The sequence below is a fragment of the Homo sapiens genome, chromosome 11 (genome assembly GCF_000001405.40).
Source record: "Homo sapiens chromosome 11, GRCh38.p14 Primary Assembly".
NCBI lineage: Eukaryota > Metazoa > Chordata > Mammalia > Primates > Hominidae > Homo > Homo sapiens.
The window spans coordinates 14735628-14749926 of NC_000011.10; the positions used below are offsets into that span (position 1 = coordinate 14735628).

A 14299-nucleotide genomic window follows, 5' to 3' on the forward strand; every position below is an offset into this window, starting at 1 on the left:
ATTACATAAAATAAAAAATCTAGTCCCTCAGTCACACTGACCACATTTCAAGTGCTCAATAGCTATACATAGCTAGTGGCTCCATATTAGAGTGTTTTCATCATCGAAAAAAGTTTAACTGGCCATCACTGCAATAGATTCAATATAAAGGTATGCTGGCTTTTAGGGTACACATTCAAGGTTTGGTAGGGAGCCTATTAAAACTGATCAAAATCCTTGATTGTTATTTAGTCTGGATGAATCACATAGGGGATAATGACAGTGAGGAAGAGAACACGGAAGCATATTTAGAGTCCTCACAAAAAATCTGGATGTGCTGGGAATAATAGGTTGTGTGTGTGTGTGTGTGTGTGTGTGTGTGTGTGTGTGACTCCTTATTGTTGATTGACACAGTGGAACAATGAAGGAAGATAGTAGAAGACAAGTAATCTAGTTTTACCTGTGCTCTTCTCTCTTGCAAGGTAGAAGGCTAAGCCTTTGATCCAGGCTGGAGGCCCTGAAACTGGGATTGATAGGATGGGCTTATTACTGTGGCCCTGAACTGAAGCCCAGTTGAGGGCGGCCTGGGAAGCAAGGCATGAACACAGCCTTGATAAACAAAATGAGTAAAGGATGCACAGTTAAGAGCCAAAAAGAGAATAGCCTGAACGTGTAGAAGGAAACTAAAGCTACAAGGGAGTTAAAAGCTGGTTGAAGTGAGTGTTTTGGGGGTTTTCTGTGAATTAATAATTTTGAAGAGGAAACAGCCCTGGTGCGTGGGGCACATTTTCGTAGAGAACACAAAGAAAAGAAAACCTCTTTGGTACATATTTTCTTTCAGTATTTTTGGGCAAGGAGAATGATGTACTTTTTACTGACAAGAGTATAACTAAAGTTGCCATTAACAGAAATAAAGCCCAGTTATCATAAAGGAACTGAAGTCCAAGATTAAAGAAGATTATAGAAAAGTACTTGATTGATTGTTCATAAACATATTCAAATATCCCAATACAGATGAATTTTGTCCTAGGGTATTGAGATAACTTACAAAGGAGATTAGCAAACAGACTATATATTTTTTTAAGACACTATAGAGAAGGAGAGAGGTTCTGGAATACTGGAGATAGATACATGCCATTCTGATTTTCAGAAGGGAGAAATGAAGGTTCCACAAACAATAAATCAATTGGTTTGACATTGACCTTAGAAAAGATTAAAGGGGTGGGTTTTGATCATCTGAGAGAGATAGTAGTGGTCACTAAGAAAAGATTAAAGAAGTGGGTTCTGAACACCCAAGAGAGGTAGTAGTGGTCATTAGGAGTTAGTATGGGCTCATGGTGCATAATTGTGACAGATTGACTTTTCAAGTCCACCATGTACTAGCTGTGCAACATTGAGTAATTTGCTTCATCTATCTGGGTCTCAGCTTTCTTATCTTTAAAATGAAAATAAAAATAATATCTATTACATAGGCTCGTAATAAAGAATAAATGAATTTACATTTGTAAAACATTTAGAACGAAATGTGATACATAAAAAGCACAATGTCAGTGATAGATAAATAGCTAGAGAGAGACCAACAGGCTGCCTTCTTTTTTTTTTTTTGAGATGGAATCTCGCTCTTTCACCCAGGCTGGACTGCAGTGGTGCAATCTTGGCTCACTGCAATCTCGGCCTCCCGGGTTCACGCTGTTCTCCTGCCTCAGCCTCCTGAGTAGCTGGGACTACAGGCAGGCGCCCTGCCACTATGCCCAGCTAATTTTTTGTGTTTTTAGTAGAGACAGGGTTTCACTGTGTTAGCCAGGATGGTCTCGATCTTCTGACCTCGTGATCCGCCAGCCTTGGCCTCCCAAAGTGCTGGGATTACAGGCGTGAGCCACTGCATCCGGCCACAGGCTGCCTTCTTTAATCAAACTTGTAGCTCCGTGAAATGAAACAGCTAATGTGCAAAGATTGTAGCAGCTCTTCTTTAAAAAAATTGAGGTGAAATTTGCATAGCCTAAAATTAACCATTTTTTTTATTATTATACTTTAAGTTTTAGGGTACACATGCACAATGTGCAGGTTAGTTACATATGTATACATGTGCCATGCTGGTGTGCTGCACCCATTAACTCCTCATTTAGCATTAGTTATATCTCCTAATGCTATCCCTTCCCCCCTCCCCCCACCCCACAACAGTCCCCAGAGTGTGATGTTCCCCTTCCTGTGTCCATGTGTTCTCATTGTTCAATTCCCATCTATGAGTGAGAACATGCGGTGTTTGGTTTTTTGTCCTTGGGGTAGTTTACTGAGAATGATGATTTCCAATTTCATCCATGTGCCTGCAAAGGACATGAACTCATCATTTTTTAAGGCTGCATAGTATTCCATGGTGTATATGTGCCACATTTTCTTAATCCAGTCTATCATTGTTGAACATTTGGGTTGGTTCCAAGTCTTTGCTATTGTGAATAGGGCCACAATAAACATACGTGTGCATGTGTCTTTATAGCAGCATGATTTATAGTCCTTTGGGTATATACCCAGTAGTGGGATGGCTGGGTCAAATGGTATTTCTAGTTCTAGATCCCTGAGGAATCGCCACACTGACTTCCACAATGGTTGAACTAATTTATACTCCCACCAACAGTGTAAAAGTGTTCCTATTTCTACACATCCTCTGCAGCATCTGTTGTTTCCTGACTTTTTAGTGATCGCCATTCTAACTGGCGTGAGATGGTATCTCATTGTGGTTTTGATTTGCATTTCTCTAATGACCAGTGATGATGAGCTTTCTGTCATATGTCTGTTGGCTGCATAAATGTCTTCTTTTGAGAAGTGTCTGTTCATATCCTTTGCCCACTTTTTGATGGGTTGTTTTTTCTTGTAAATTTGTTTAAGTTCTTTGTAGATTCTGAATATTAGCCCTTTGTTAGATGGATAGATTGCAAAAATTTTCTCCCATTCTCTAGGTTGACTTTTCACTTCTTTTGCTGTGCAGAAGCTCTTGAGTTTAATTAGATCCCATTTGTCAATTTTGGCTTTTGTTGCCATTGCTTTTTGTATTTTAGTCATGAAGTCTTTGCCCATGCCTATGTCCTGAATGGTATTGCCTAGGTTTTCTTCTAGGGTTTTTATGGTTTTAGGTCTTACGCTTAAGTCTTTAATCCATCTTGAGTTAATTTTTGTATAAGGTGTAAGAAAGGGGTCCAGTTTCAGTTTTCTCCATATGGCTAGCCAGTTTTCCCAACACCATTTATTAAACAGGATATCCTTTCCCCATTGCTTGTTTTTGCCAGGTTTGTCAAAGACCAGATGGTTGCAGATATATGGTATTATTTCTGAGGCTCCTGCTCTGTTCCATTGGTCGATATCTCTGTTTTGGTACTAGTACCATGCTGTTTTGGTTACTGTAGCCTTGTAATATAGTTTGAAGTCAGGTAGTGTGATGCCTCCAGCTTTGTTCTTTTTGCTTAGGATTGACTTGGCTATGCAGGCCCTTTTTTGGGTTTCATGTGAAATTTAAAGTAGTTTTCTCTAATTCTGTGAAGAAAGTCAATGGTAGCTTGATGGGGATAGCACTGAATCTATAAATTACCTTGGACAGTATGGCCCTTTTCACAATATTGATTCTTCCTAACCATGAGCGTGGAATGTGTTTCCATTTGTTTGTGTCCTCTCTTATTTCCTTGAGCAGTGGTTTGTAGTTTTCCTTGAAGAGGTCCTTCACATCCCTTGTAAGTTGGATTCCTAGGTATTTTATTCTCTTTGTAACAATTGTGAATGGCAGTTCACTCATGATTTGGCTCTCTGTTTGCCTCTTATTGGTATATAGGAATCCTTGTGATTTTTGCACACTGACTTTGTATCCTGAGACTTGCAGAAGTTGCTTATCAGCTTAAGGAGATTTTGGGCTGAGATGATGGGTTTTTCTAGATATGGAATCATGTCATCTACAAACAGAGACAATTTGACTTCCTTTCTTCCTATTTGAATACCCTCTATTTCTTTCTCTTGCGTGATTGCCCTGGCCAGAACTTCCAATACTTTGTTGACTAGGAGTGCTGAGAGAGGGCATCCTTGTCTTGTGCTGGTTTTCAAATGGAATGCTTCCAGTTTTTGCCCATTCAGTATGATATTGGCTCTGGGTTTGTCATAAATAGCTCTTATTATTTTGAGATACGTTCCATCGACACCTAGCTCATTGAGAGTTTTTAGCATGAAGGGGTGTTGAATTTTGTCGAAGGCCTTTTGTGCATCTGTTGAGATAATCATGTGGTTTTTGTCATTGGTTCTGCTTATGTGATGGATTACATTTATTGATTTGTGTATGTTGAACTAGCCTTGCATCCCAGGGTTGAAGCTGGCTTGATTGTGGTGGATAAGCTTTTTGATGTCCTGCTGGATTCGGTTTGCCAGTATTTTATTGAGAATTTTTGCATCGATGTTCATTAGGTATATTGGCCAAATTTTCTTGTTTTGTTGTGTCTCTGCCAGGTTTTGGTATCTGGATGATGCTAAACTCATAAAATGAGTTAGGGAGGATTTCCTTTTTTTCTATTGATTGGAATAGTTTCAGAAGGAATGGCACCAACTCATCTTTGTATCTCTGGTAGAATTGGGCTGTGAATCTGTCTGGTCCTGGACTTTTTTTGGTTGGTAGGCTATTAATTACTGCTTCAATTTCAGAACTTGTTATTGGTCTATTCAAGGATTTGACTTCTTCCTGGTTTAGACTTGGGAGGGTGTATGTGTCCGGGAATTTATCCATTTCTTCTAGATTTTCTAGTTTATTTGCATAGAGATGTTTATAGTACTCTCTGATGGTAGTTTGTATTTCCATGGGATCAGGGGTGATATCCCCTGTATCATTTTTTATTGAGTCTATTTGATTCTTCTCTCTTTTCATCTTTATTAGTCTGGCTAGCGGTCTGTCTATTTTGGTAATGTTTTCAAAAAACCAGCTCCTGGATTCACTGATTTTTTGAAAGATTTTTTGTGTCTCTATCTCCTTCAGTTCTGCTCTGATCTTAGTTATTTCTGGTCTTCTGCTAGCATTTGAATTTGTTTGCTCTTGCTTCTCTAGTACTTTTAATTGTGATGTTAGTGCATCGATTGTAGATCTTTTCTGCTTTCTCTTGTAGGCATTTAGTCTGTAAATTCCTCTCTAAACACTGCTTTGGTTCTGTGCCAGAGATTCTGATATGTAGTGTCTTTGTTCTCATTGGTTTCAAAGAATTTATTCATTTCTGCCTTAATTTCCTTATTTACACAGTAGTCATTCAGGAGCAGGTTGTTCAGTTTCCATGTAGTTGTGCGGTTTTGAGTGAGTTTCTTAATCCTAAGTTCTAATTTGATTGCACTGTGGCCTGAGAAACTGTTTGTTATGATTTCCATTCTTATTCATTTTCTGCAGAGTGTTTTACTTCCAATTATATGGTCAATTTTAGAATAAATGCGATGTGGTGCTGAGAAGAATGTATATTCCGTTGATTTGGGGTGGGGAGTTCTGTAGATGTGTATTAGGTCTGCTTGGTCCAGAGCTGAGTTCAAGTCTTGAATTTCCTTGTTGATTTTCTATCGTATTGATCTGTCTAATATTGTCAGTGGGGTGTTACAGTCTCCCACTATTACTGTGTCGGAGTCTAAGTCTCTTTGTAGGCCTCTAAGACTTGGTATTATGAATCTGGGTGCTCGTGTATTGGCTGCATATATATTTAGGATAGTTAGCTCTTTTTGTTGCATTGATCTGTTTACCATTATGTAATGCCCTTCTTTGTGTCTTTTGAGCTTTGTTGGTTTAAAGTCCGTTTTATCAGAGACTAGGATTGCATTTTTTTTGCTTTCCATTTGCTTGGTAAATATTCTGCTATCTTTTTTTGAGCCTATGTGTTTTTGCATATGAGATGGGTCTCCTGAATACAGCACATCAATGGGTCTTGACTCTTTATTCAATTTGCCAGTCCATGTCTTTTACTTGGGGCATTTAGCCCATTTACATTTAAGGTTAATATTGTTAAGTGTGAATTTGATCCTGTCATTATGATGCTAGCTGGTTGTTTTGCCTGTTAGTTGATGCAGTTTCTTCATAGTGTCGATGGTCTTTACAATTTGGTATGTTTTTGCAGTGGCTGGTACTGGTTGTTCCTTTCCATGTTTAGTGCTTCCTTTAGGAGCTCTTGTAAGGCAGGCCTGGTGATGACAAAATCTCTCAGCATTTGCTTGTCTGTAAAGGATTTTATTTTTCCTTTGTTTATCAAGCTTTAGTTTGACTGGATATGAAATTCTGAGTTGAAAATTCTTTTCTTTAAGAATGTTGAATATTGGCCCCTACTTTCTTCTGGCTTGTAGAGTTTCTGCCGAGAGATCCGCTGTTAGTCTGATGGGCTTCCCTTTGTGAGTAACCCAACCTTTCTCTCTGGCTGCCTTATCATTTTTTCCTTCATTTCAGCCTTGGTGAATCTGACAATTATGTGTCTTGGGGTTGTGCTTCTTGAGGAGTATCTTTGTGGTGTTCTCTGTATTTCCTGAATTTGAATGTTGGCCTGCCTTATTAGGTTCAGGAAGTTCTCCTGGATAATATCCTGAAGAGTGTTTTCCAACTTGGTTCCATTCTCCCTGTCACTTTCAGGTGCACAAATCAAACGCAATTTGGTCTTTTCACATAGTCCCATATTTCTTGGAGGCTTTGTTCGTTCCTTTTCATTCTGTTTTCTCTAATCTTCTTGCTTTATTTCATCAAGTTGATCTTCAATCTCTGATATCCTTTCTTCCACTTGATGAGTTCAGCTATCGATACTTGTGTATGCTTCATGAAGTTCTTGTGCTGTGTTTTTCAGCTCCACCAGATCATTTATGTTCTTCTCTAAACTGGTTATTCTAGTTAGCAATTCATCTAACCTTTTTTCTAGGTTCTTAGCTTCCTTGCTTTGGGTTAGGACATGCTCCTTTAGCTCAGAATCGTTTGTTATTACCCACCTTCTGAAGCCTACTTCTGTCTGTCAAACTCATTCTCCGTCCAATTTTGTTCCCTTGCTGGTGAGGAGTTGTGATCCTTTAGAGGAGAAGAGGCGTTGTGTTTTTTGGAATTTTCAGCCTTTTTGTGCTGGTTTCTCCCCATCTTTGTGGATTTATCTACCTTTGGTCTTTAATGTTGGTGACCTCTGGATGGGGTCTTTGAGTGGACATGCGATTTCTTTCTGCTTGTTAGTTTTCCTTCTGACAGTCAGGCCCCTATGCTGCAGGTCTGCTGGAGTTTGCTGGAGGTCCACTCCAGACCCTGTTTGCCTGAATGTCACCAGGAGAGGCTGCAGAACAGTAAAGATTGCTGACTGTTCCTTCCTCTGGAAGCTTTGTCCCAGAGGGGCTCTCACTAGATGCCAGCCAGAGCTCTCCTGTATGAGGTGTCTGTCAACTCCTGCTGAGAGATTTCTCCGAGTCAGGAGGCACGGGGGTCAGGGACCCACTTGAGGAGGCAGTCTGTCCCTTAGCAGAGCTTGAGCGCTGTGTTGGGAGATCTGCTGTTCTCTTCAGACCTGGCAGACAGGAACGTTTGTTTGCTGAAGTTGCACCCACAGCTGCCCCTTCCCCCAGGTGGTCCCAGGGAGATGGGAGTTGTATCTCTAAGCCCCTGACTGGGGCTGCTGCCTTTATTTCAGAGATACCCTGCCCAGAGAGGTGGAATCTAGAGAGGAAGTCTGGCTATAGTGGCTTTGCCAAGATGAAGTGGGCTCCACCCAGTTTGAACTTCCCAGCAGCTTTATTTATGCTGTGAGGGGAAAACCGCCTACTCAAGTCTCAGTAATGGCAGACACCCCTTCCCCCACCAAGTTGGAGCATCACAGGTTGACTTCAGACTGCTGTGCTGGCAGCAAGAATTTCAAGCCAATGGATCCCAGCTTGTTGGGCTCCATCAGGGTGGGATCCACTGAGCTAGACCACTGGGCTCCCTGGCTTCAACTCCCTTTCCAGGGTAGTGAACAGTTTTGTCTTGCTGGTGTTCCATGTGCCACTGGGGTATGAAAAGAAACTCCTGCAGCTAGCTCGGTGTCTGCCCAAATGGCTGCCCAGTTTTGTGCTTGAAACCCAGGACCCTGGTGGCGTAGGTACCAGAGGGATTTTCCTGGTCTGCAGGTTGCAAAGACTGTGGGAAATGCGTACTATCTGGGCCGCAATGCACCATTCCTCACGGCACAGTCCCTCATGGCTTCCCTTGGCTAGGGGAGGGAGTTCCTCAACCCCTTGCACTTCCTGGGTGAGGAGATGCCCCACCCTGCATCTGCTCGCCCTCTGTGGGCTGGACCCACTGTCTAACCAGTCCCATTGAGATGAGCTGGGTACCTCAGTTGGAAATACAGAAATCACTCACCTTCTGCATTGATCTCTCTGGGAGCTGCAGACCAGAGCTGTTGCTATTCGACCATCTTGCCAGCCACTATCAAAGAGATTAGTTTTATATTGTTGAGTGTTCTTAGCACCTTTGTTGAAAATCAGTTGACCACAGATATATAGGTTTATTTCTCAATTCTCAGTTTTATTCCATTGATCTACATGTCTGTCTTTATGCCATTACCATGATGTTTTGATTACTGTAGCTTTTATAATCAGTTATGCAACCAGCTATGTGAGTCTTATACTGTTTCTTTTTTCCTTTCTATTCTTTTTTCTTTGATTTGGTTATTCAATGTTCTTAAAATTCTGTATGAATTGTAGGATCAGTTTTTTCATTTCTGCAAAAAAAGTCATTGGGATTTTGATAGGAATTGCATTGCATTTTTAGTTTGCTTTGGGTGATATTGCCATTTTCACAATATTGTCTTCCAAGTCCATGAATGTGAATGTTTTTCCATTTAGTTAGGTCTTCTTTACTTTCTTTCAGCAATGTTTTGTAGTTTTCATTGTCAAAGTTTTGTACTGCCTTGATTAAGTTTATTACCAAGTATTTTATTATTTTTGATGCCATTGTAAATTCTGTTGTAAAGATGGATTATTTCATCTATATCTCCCATCTCAGTTCTTTCTCTTAAGATCCCAATGTGCATACACAGAGAATAAAATAAATTGAGTAGTAGATTTAGTTCTAAGCATCCTGAAAGGCTGGCAAAAAGGAAATGAGATAGGGAAGCAGGGTCAGTGTATGTGACTTTCTAATAAAAGAGAAGAACTTTTTTCTGGAACTCAACTCTAGGAGAAAATTATTATGAGAACTTTTGCATTAGGGACATGAAATAACATTATAAGGATAATTTTAATGTTTTATAGGAAACATATTTTTAATATTGACAATGAATAAAAGCCCAGGGGATAGGGTTATAATTTAGCTCAGTCATATAGTATAATTGTTCTTTAAGTGTTTATCCTTTTTGTTAATTTATAAGCTCTGTGAAAATAGCTTTTTTGTTTTTTTGTTTTTATTTTATAGAGACAGGGTCTCTCTATGTTGCCCAGGCTGGTCTTGAACTCCTGAGATCAAGCGATCCTCCCACCTCGGCCTCCCAAAGCACTGGGATTATAGGCGTGAGCCACTGCACCAGCCGAAGGTAGCTTTTTTGGAGGGAGACTGTGTTTTGTTCTTTTCACATTCCCTAGAGCAAGTGCCTCACAAGCTGTTTACAAAAATAATTTTTTTCTGAATTCTGTAATTAAATATCTGTGAAATTTATAAACTGACTTTGAAATTTTAGTGGTTCTTTAAAATGTTATTTCTTGATTCAGAGAAAGAATACTGTATCTGGATAATCACTTATTTTTAAGGTTTTGGTTTTTTGCTTGAGTCTTGTTTGTGATCTAACTATATTGATTAAGTTATTATACATACACACACACAGCAGATCTAATATGGCATTTTTTTTTAACCACGTACTTTTCTTGTTCCTGTTGTGGATCAACCATTATTTCTTTGTATTTAGCTACATAAAAAAAACTATCAAGAAATATATAAAAATGTACTTTTAGAAGTATTGATTTCTGCTCACCATCATTTGTCAACTTTGATGTTAGACAGCTACTAGTTAGCTGGAATTCAGTGCCAAATGAAGTCAGAGGTGGATAGGAATCTTTTATTATGTATATTTTTTTTATTTTCCTTCTCCTTTTATTTTTCCTCCTTTCCTCGCTATACTTTTTCCCTTCACCATTTTTTTTCCACCCTCCCTGCCTGTGCCCATCTAAAGTACATACAAGGATTGTTTAGCCTGTTTGACAGGAAAAGGAAAAGAATTAATGTATATTGGCTGGATTCTCTTGGAATTTTGTGAGATCAGGGACCTGAATCTGAATCAGGTAACATCCATGATAGTTATTCCACATCCCCATTTGCTATCTGATTCAGATTCAGGTCCCTAATAACATAGCATCCATGATAGTTATTCCATATCCCCATGTTCTATGTTATGTTGTCCAGCTCTTCCCTTCAGGACTGAAAGATTTATTTCCCCAGCTGCTAGGAAGATTGTCCACTGACAGGTCTCATCAGGAAGCCCTCTCATAAAATTGTTGAAATGTCTAACGAGAGCCTGTCTTGGCCAGGTGCCACCGCACTCATGCCTGTAATCCCCTCACTTTGGGAGGCCAAGGCGGATGGATCACTTAAGGTCAGGAGTTCGTGACCAGCCTGGCCAACATGGTGAAACCCTGTCTCTACTAAAAATACAAAAATTAGCTGGGCGTGGTGGCATTCACCTGCAATTCCAGCTACTCGGGAGGCTGAGGCACAAGAACCCAGGAGGCGGAGGTTGCAGTGAGCCGAGATCGCACCAGTGCACTCCAGCCTGGGTGATGGAGTGACACTCTATCTCAAAATAAAATAAAATAAAAAATAATAAAATAAAGCTGTCTTTAAAAAGCTAATGCCCTTTTTCTAGGGCAGCTCACATTAAATGAGTTGTTGATTTGATGCTGTAAAGGCTTCACCCTCTCTCAACCCAATTTAGGACAACTCTGAAGGGATGTCTTAGTTGCCCTTTTCTAGTTACTAGACTAGGATGTTTTAAAAGCTGAGGATATAAACTTACCTAAATGTTTTTGTATTCTTTTGCTAATGAGAAATAATCTTTCACTGGTGTCATGTTTTGAGATATTTGAAAGCTATCCTTAGGCTCATTTAGCTGTCACTTAAAATATTAAGCATTACATAAGGTTAAAAAAATGGAATAGTGGCAAGAGTATGACCCAGAAAGCATGAGTGAGGCTGAAAAGAATACGAGGATCCTTTCGATGGTAATTTTGGAAGATCCTATTTGAAATAGTGATCTTAATTATGTAGAATTTCATTTCCATCTCTATGGCTTTAGTCACTGTTACAGGACATTTTTGCATCACTATAAAGGAATACCTGAGACTGGTAATTTATAAAGAAAAGAGGTTTAGTTGGCTCATAGTTCTTCAGGCTGTACAGGAAGTGTGGTGCCAGCATCTGCTCCTGGCGAGTGCCTCAGTAAGCTTACAACCATGGTGGAAGGCAAAGGCGGAGGAGGTGTGTCATGTGGCGAGAGCCAGAGCAAGGGTTGGGGGAGGTGCCATGCTCTTTTAAACAACACAATCTTTAAAACAACATAATCTTTTAAACAACACAGTCATCACCAAGGGGATGATGCTAACCCATTCATGAAGGATCCAGCCCCATGATCTAGTCACCTCCCAGCAGGCCCCACCTTCAACTTTGGGAATCACATTTCAGCATGAGATTTGGAGGGATAAACATCCAAACCATATCAGTCACTCTGTTTTGTTTCAGAGTGAATGATACTTACAGAATCATAGTATTGTAAAGCCCTTTGATTTGCCACTTTTGACTAGACTTACACAACATAACACAAATATCAAAGCCTCAACATTGTAAAAAATAATATAACATGAAAGTGAGTGAGTACTAGGAAGAGTAAGTGCTGTCATGTCTTTCTCCCATAGAGAAGACAGTCAGAAGATAGCCTAAACAGAATCTGTTATTCATTGTGGTTGACTCCAGGGGATAGGGACAAAGGGAAGTGTATAGTTTTCATTTTAAGCCTTTATGTGCTGTATAAAGTTTTTAAAGAAGCATATCGTGTGCATAATCCCTAAAAAATCAAGCAACCAAAATGTAGTGGTGATGGTGGGATGTGTGTGTATTGGGGGAGGGAAGGAGGGGAGAATGGCTTAAAAATTAATTCATTTAAAATATTTCTTATTTTTTAACTTCCATATTTTGAATCAAATGATTTGCAAAAATAATGGATTGTTTTATAAACGCATGTAATATACATATTTAAGTAGCAGGTGTTTCATAAATACCTTGTTATAGAAGTGCACACATTTCTGTGTTTCAGAATTCAAAAGCCCCTTTGAAGAAATAGTCACTATTTGACTTACCACATACGTAATGACAAGAAATTTACAAGTATAATTAGATTTTTAGTGATTAAATTGTGCATATAATAATTTTACCAACATAGTATAGCATTTCCTTTAGCATTTATTATATTGTAAATGAGTGTTATAAGCGAGTTATAACCTAAATTCTTTAATGTAACCTAGTTCTTTAACATAATCTAAATGGTTTAACATAGGCATAGGCCTATAATATTAGTAAGAATAGATCATATGGTTTAGAATTATTTTAAAATGTTGAGGATTACTTCAGATCTTATTACTGTAATTCCCTATTTGTGATGGGTAGCCGTTCTGTGACCTATTAATTGTTCTCTTGGATATGTAGCTGTTTATGTTTCAGATTGGCTGCAGCTGTTTTGATTTGAGGCAGATGGCCTGAAGAAGCAGCATTCATAAATTAAATCACAATTTTTTTTCTATGTATTTTTAAATCATTCTCAGAAACCTGAAGTCTTTTCAGTACAGAGTTAATTTCAAATTCATAATATTCTTTGAATTTTCACATAATATATTAACTTGATTTTTGTATAACAATATTCTTTTCATTTTTGTGAAATACATAATTGCTAACTTATTTTAACATAGACATGAGCTAAAGAGACCCTAATTATATTTTTACACAAACCTTATACAATTATTTAAATTCTGACCCAAATAGCAGAATGGTTATTACACTGATTCTTTAATCATTTCAAAATAGGAACAATTATTTCCAATGGAATTCTCACTTTCTAACTTATTTAGTTCTCTTTTTCATTCATTATGGTTTTGGAAAGTATCTGAGACAGCTACATTTATTAACTACACTATAGTTAAGGTAAAAAGATAATGGTCTTTCTCGTCATTGTTGAAATACCCATACTAAAATGATACTATTAAAAAAAGAGCTAACTTCCTTTTAAGGAGTGGTCTATAGCCTTTCTCTTTTCTTTCTTTTTTTTTTTTTTTTGAGACAGAGTTTCGCTCTTTTGCCCAGGCTGGAGTGCAGTGGCGCAGTCTTGGCTCACTGCAGCTTCCGCCGCCTGGGTTCATGTGATTCTCATGCTTCAGCCTCCCAAGTAGCTGGGATTACAGGTATGTACCACCATGCCTGTCTAATTTTTGTCTTTTTAGTAGATTCGGGGTTTTGCCATGTTGCTCAGGCTGGTGTCAAACTCTTGGCCTCAAGTGATGCACCTGCCTCGGCTTCCCAAAGTGCTGGGATTACAAGCGTGAGCCATCCACGCCTGGCCAAGAACTTTCTATTTTTGTATAAAACTTTTTTTTTAAACATAGATTGGTACATATGTAAATGAAAAGTAATATTCATGTAGAAAGAGAAGTGAAGATCATCTAGTCTGGCCTTTCAGTGCTTGAATTTCCTTAAACACATTAACTAAATAGTAAGCTAGCTTATGCAGGTACTGATCCAATGATGAGTAACTCTATACCTCTGAAGATAATACATTCCATCTTTGGATAGCATTGACTAGTGAAAAGCAAATAGTTATACTGAATCAAAGTCAGCTTCCTTGTCTTTCTTTTTGTTTTTAACCTGTTGGCCCTAGATTCTTTGGGGCTACACAGAACGGTTTAAGCAGTCTTCCTTATGACAATCATAAAATATTTGAGGACAGCTTTTATGACTCCACAATCTCTCTTACCATTCCTGAAGTTTCTTCTCTAAATAAATACTTTTGGTTCCTTCAGCCATTCTTCATATGTCACAAAGGCCTTCTCTGTTATTCAGAATATACTGCAGATGGTCTCTACTAGGAGCAGAATCCATGAATAGGATTCAGGAAACCCATGGATTTTGATATTAGTCAGGGTTGTCCAGAAAAATAGAACCAATAGGAGGATATTTACACATGCACATCCTCCTATATCCCATAAATATATATATATTTATTTATATATATTTAAAATTTATATATTTATAGATTTAAAATAAATATATCCCATATATATATATATGTATCTTTGTGGA

At 38.6% G+C, this 14299-nt stretch overlaps 1 protein-coding gene across 11 annotated transcripts in view, besides 1 other annotated feature; it reads left to right on the top strand.

Annotated features, from left to right (window-relative positions):
* Nucleotides 1-14299, top strand: part of PDE3B (phosphodiesterase 3B) — a 255518-nt gene that overhangs the window by 91824 nt on the left and 149395 nt on the right. The gene's annotated exons all lie outside the window — the stretch shown is intronic.
* Nucleotides 7418-7917: an enhancer, noted in NCBI's record as "H3K27ac hESC enhancer chr11:14764591-14765090 (GRCh37/hg19 assembly coordinates)". NCBI's record gives its function as "activates a minimal SCP1, AML or CMV promoter by ChIP-STARR-seq in primed H9 embryonic stem cells {active_cell/tissue: H9 hESC(primed)}" and the evidence as "EXISTENCE:reporter gene assay evidence [ECO:0000049][PMID:30033119]".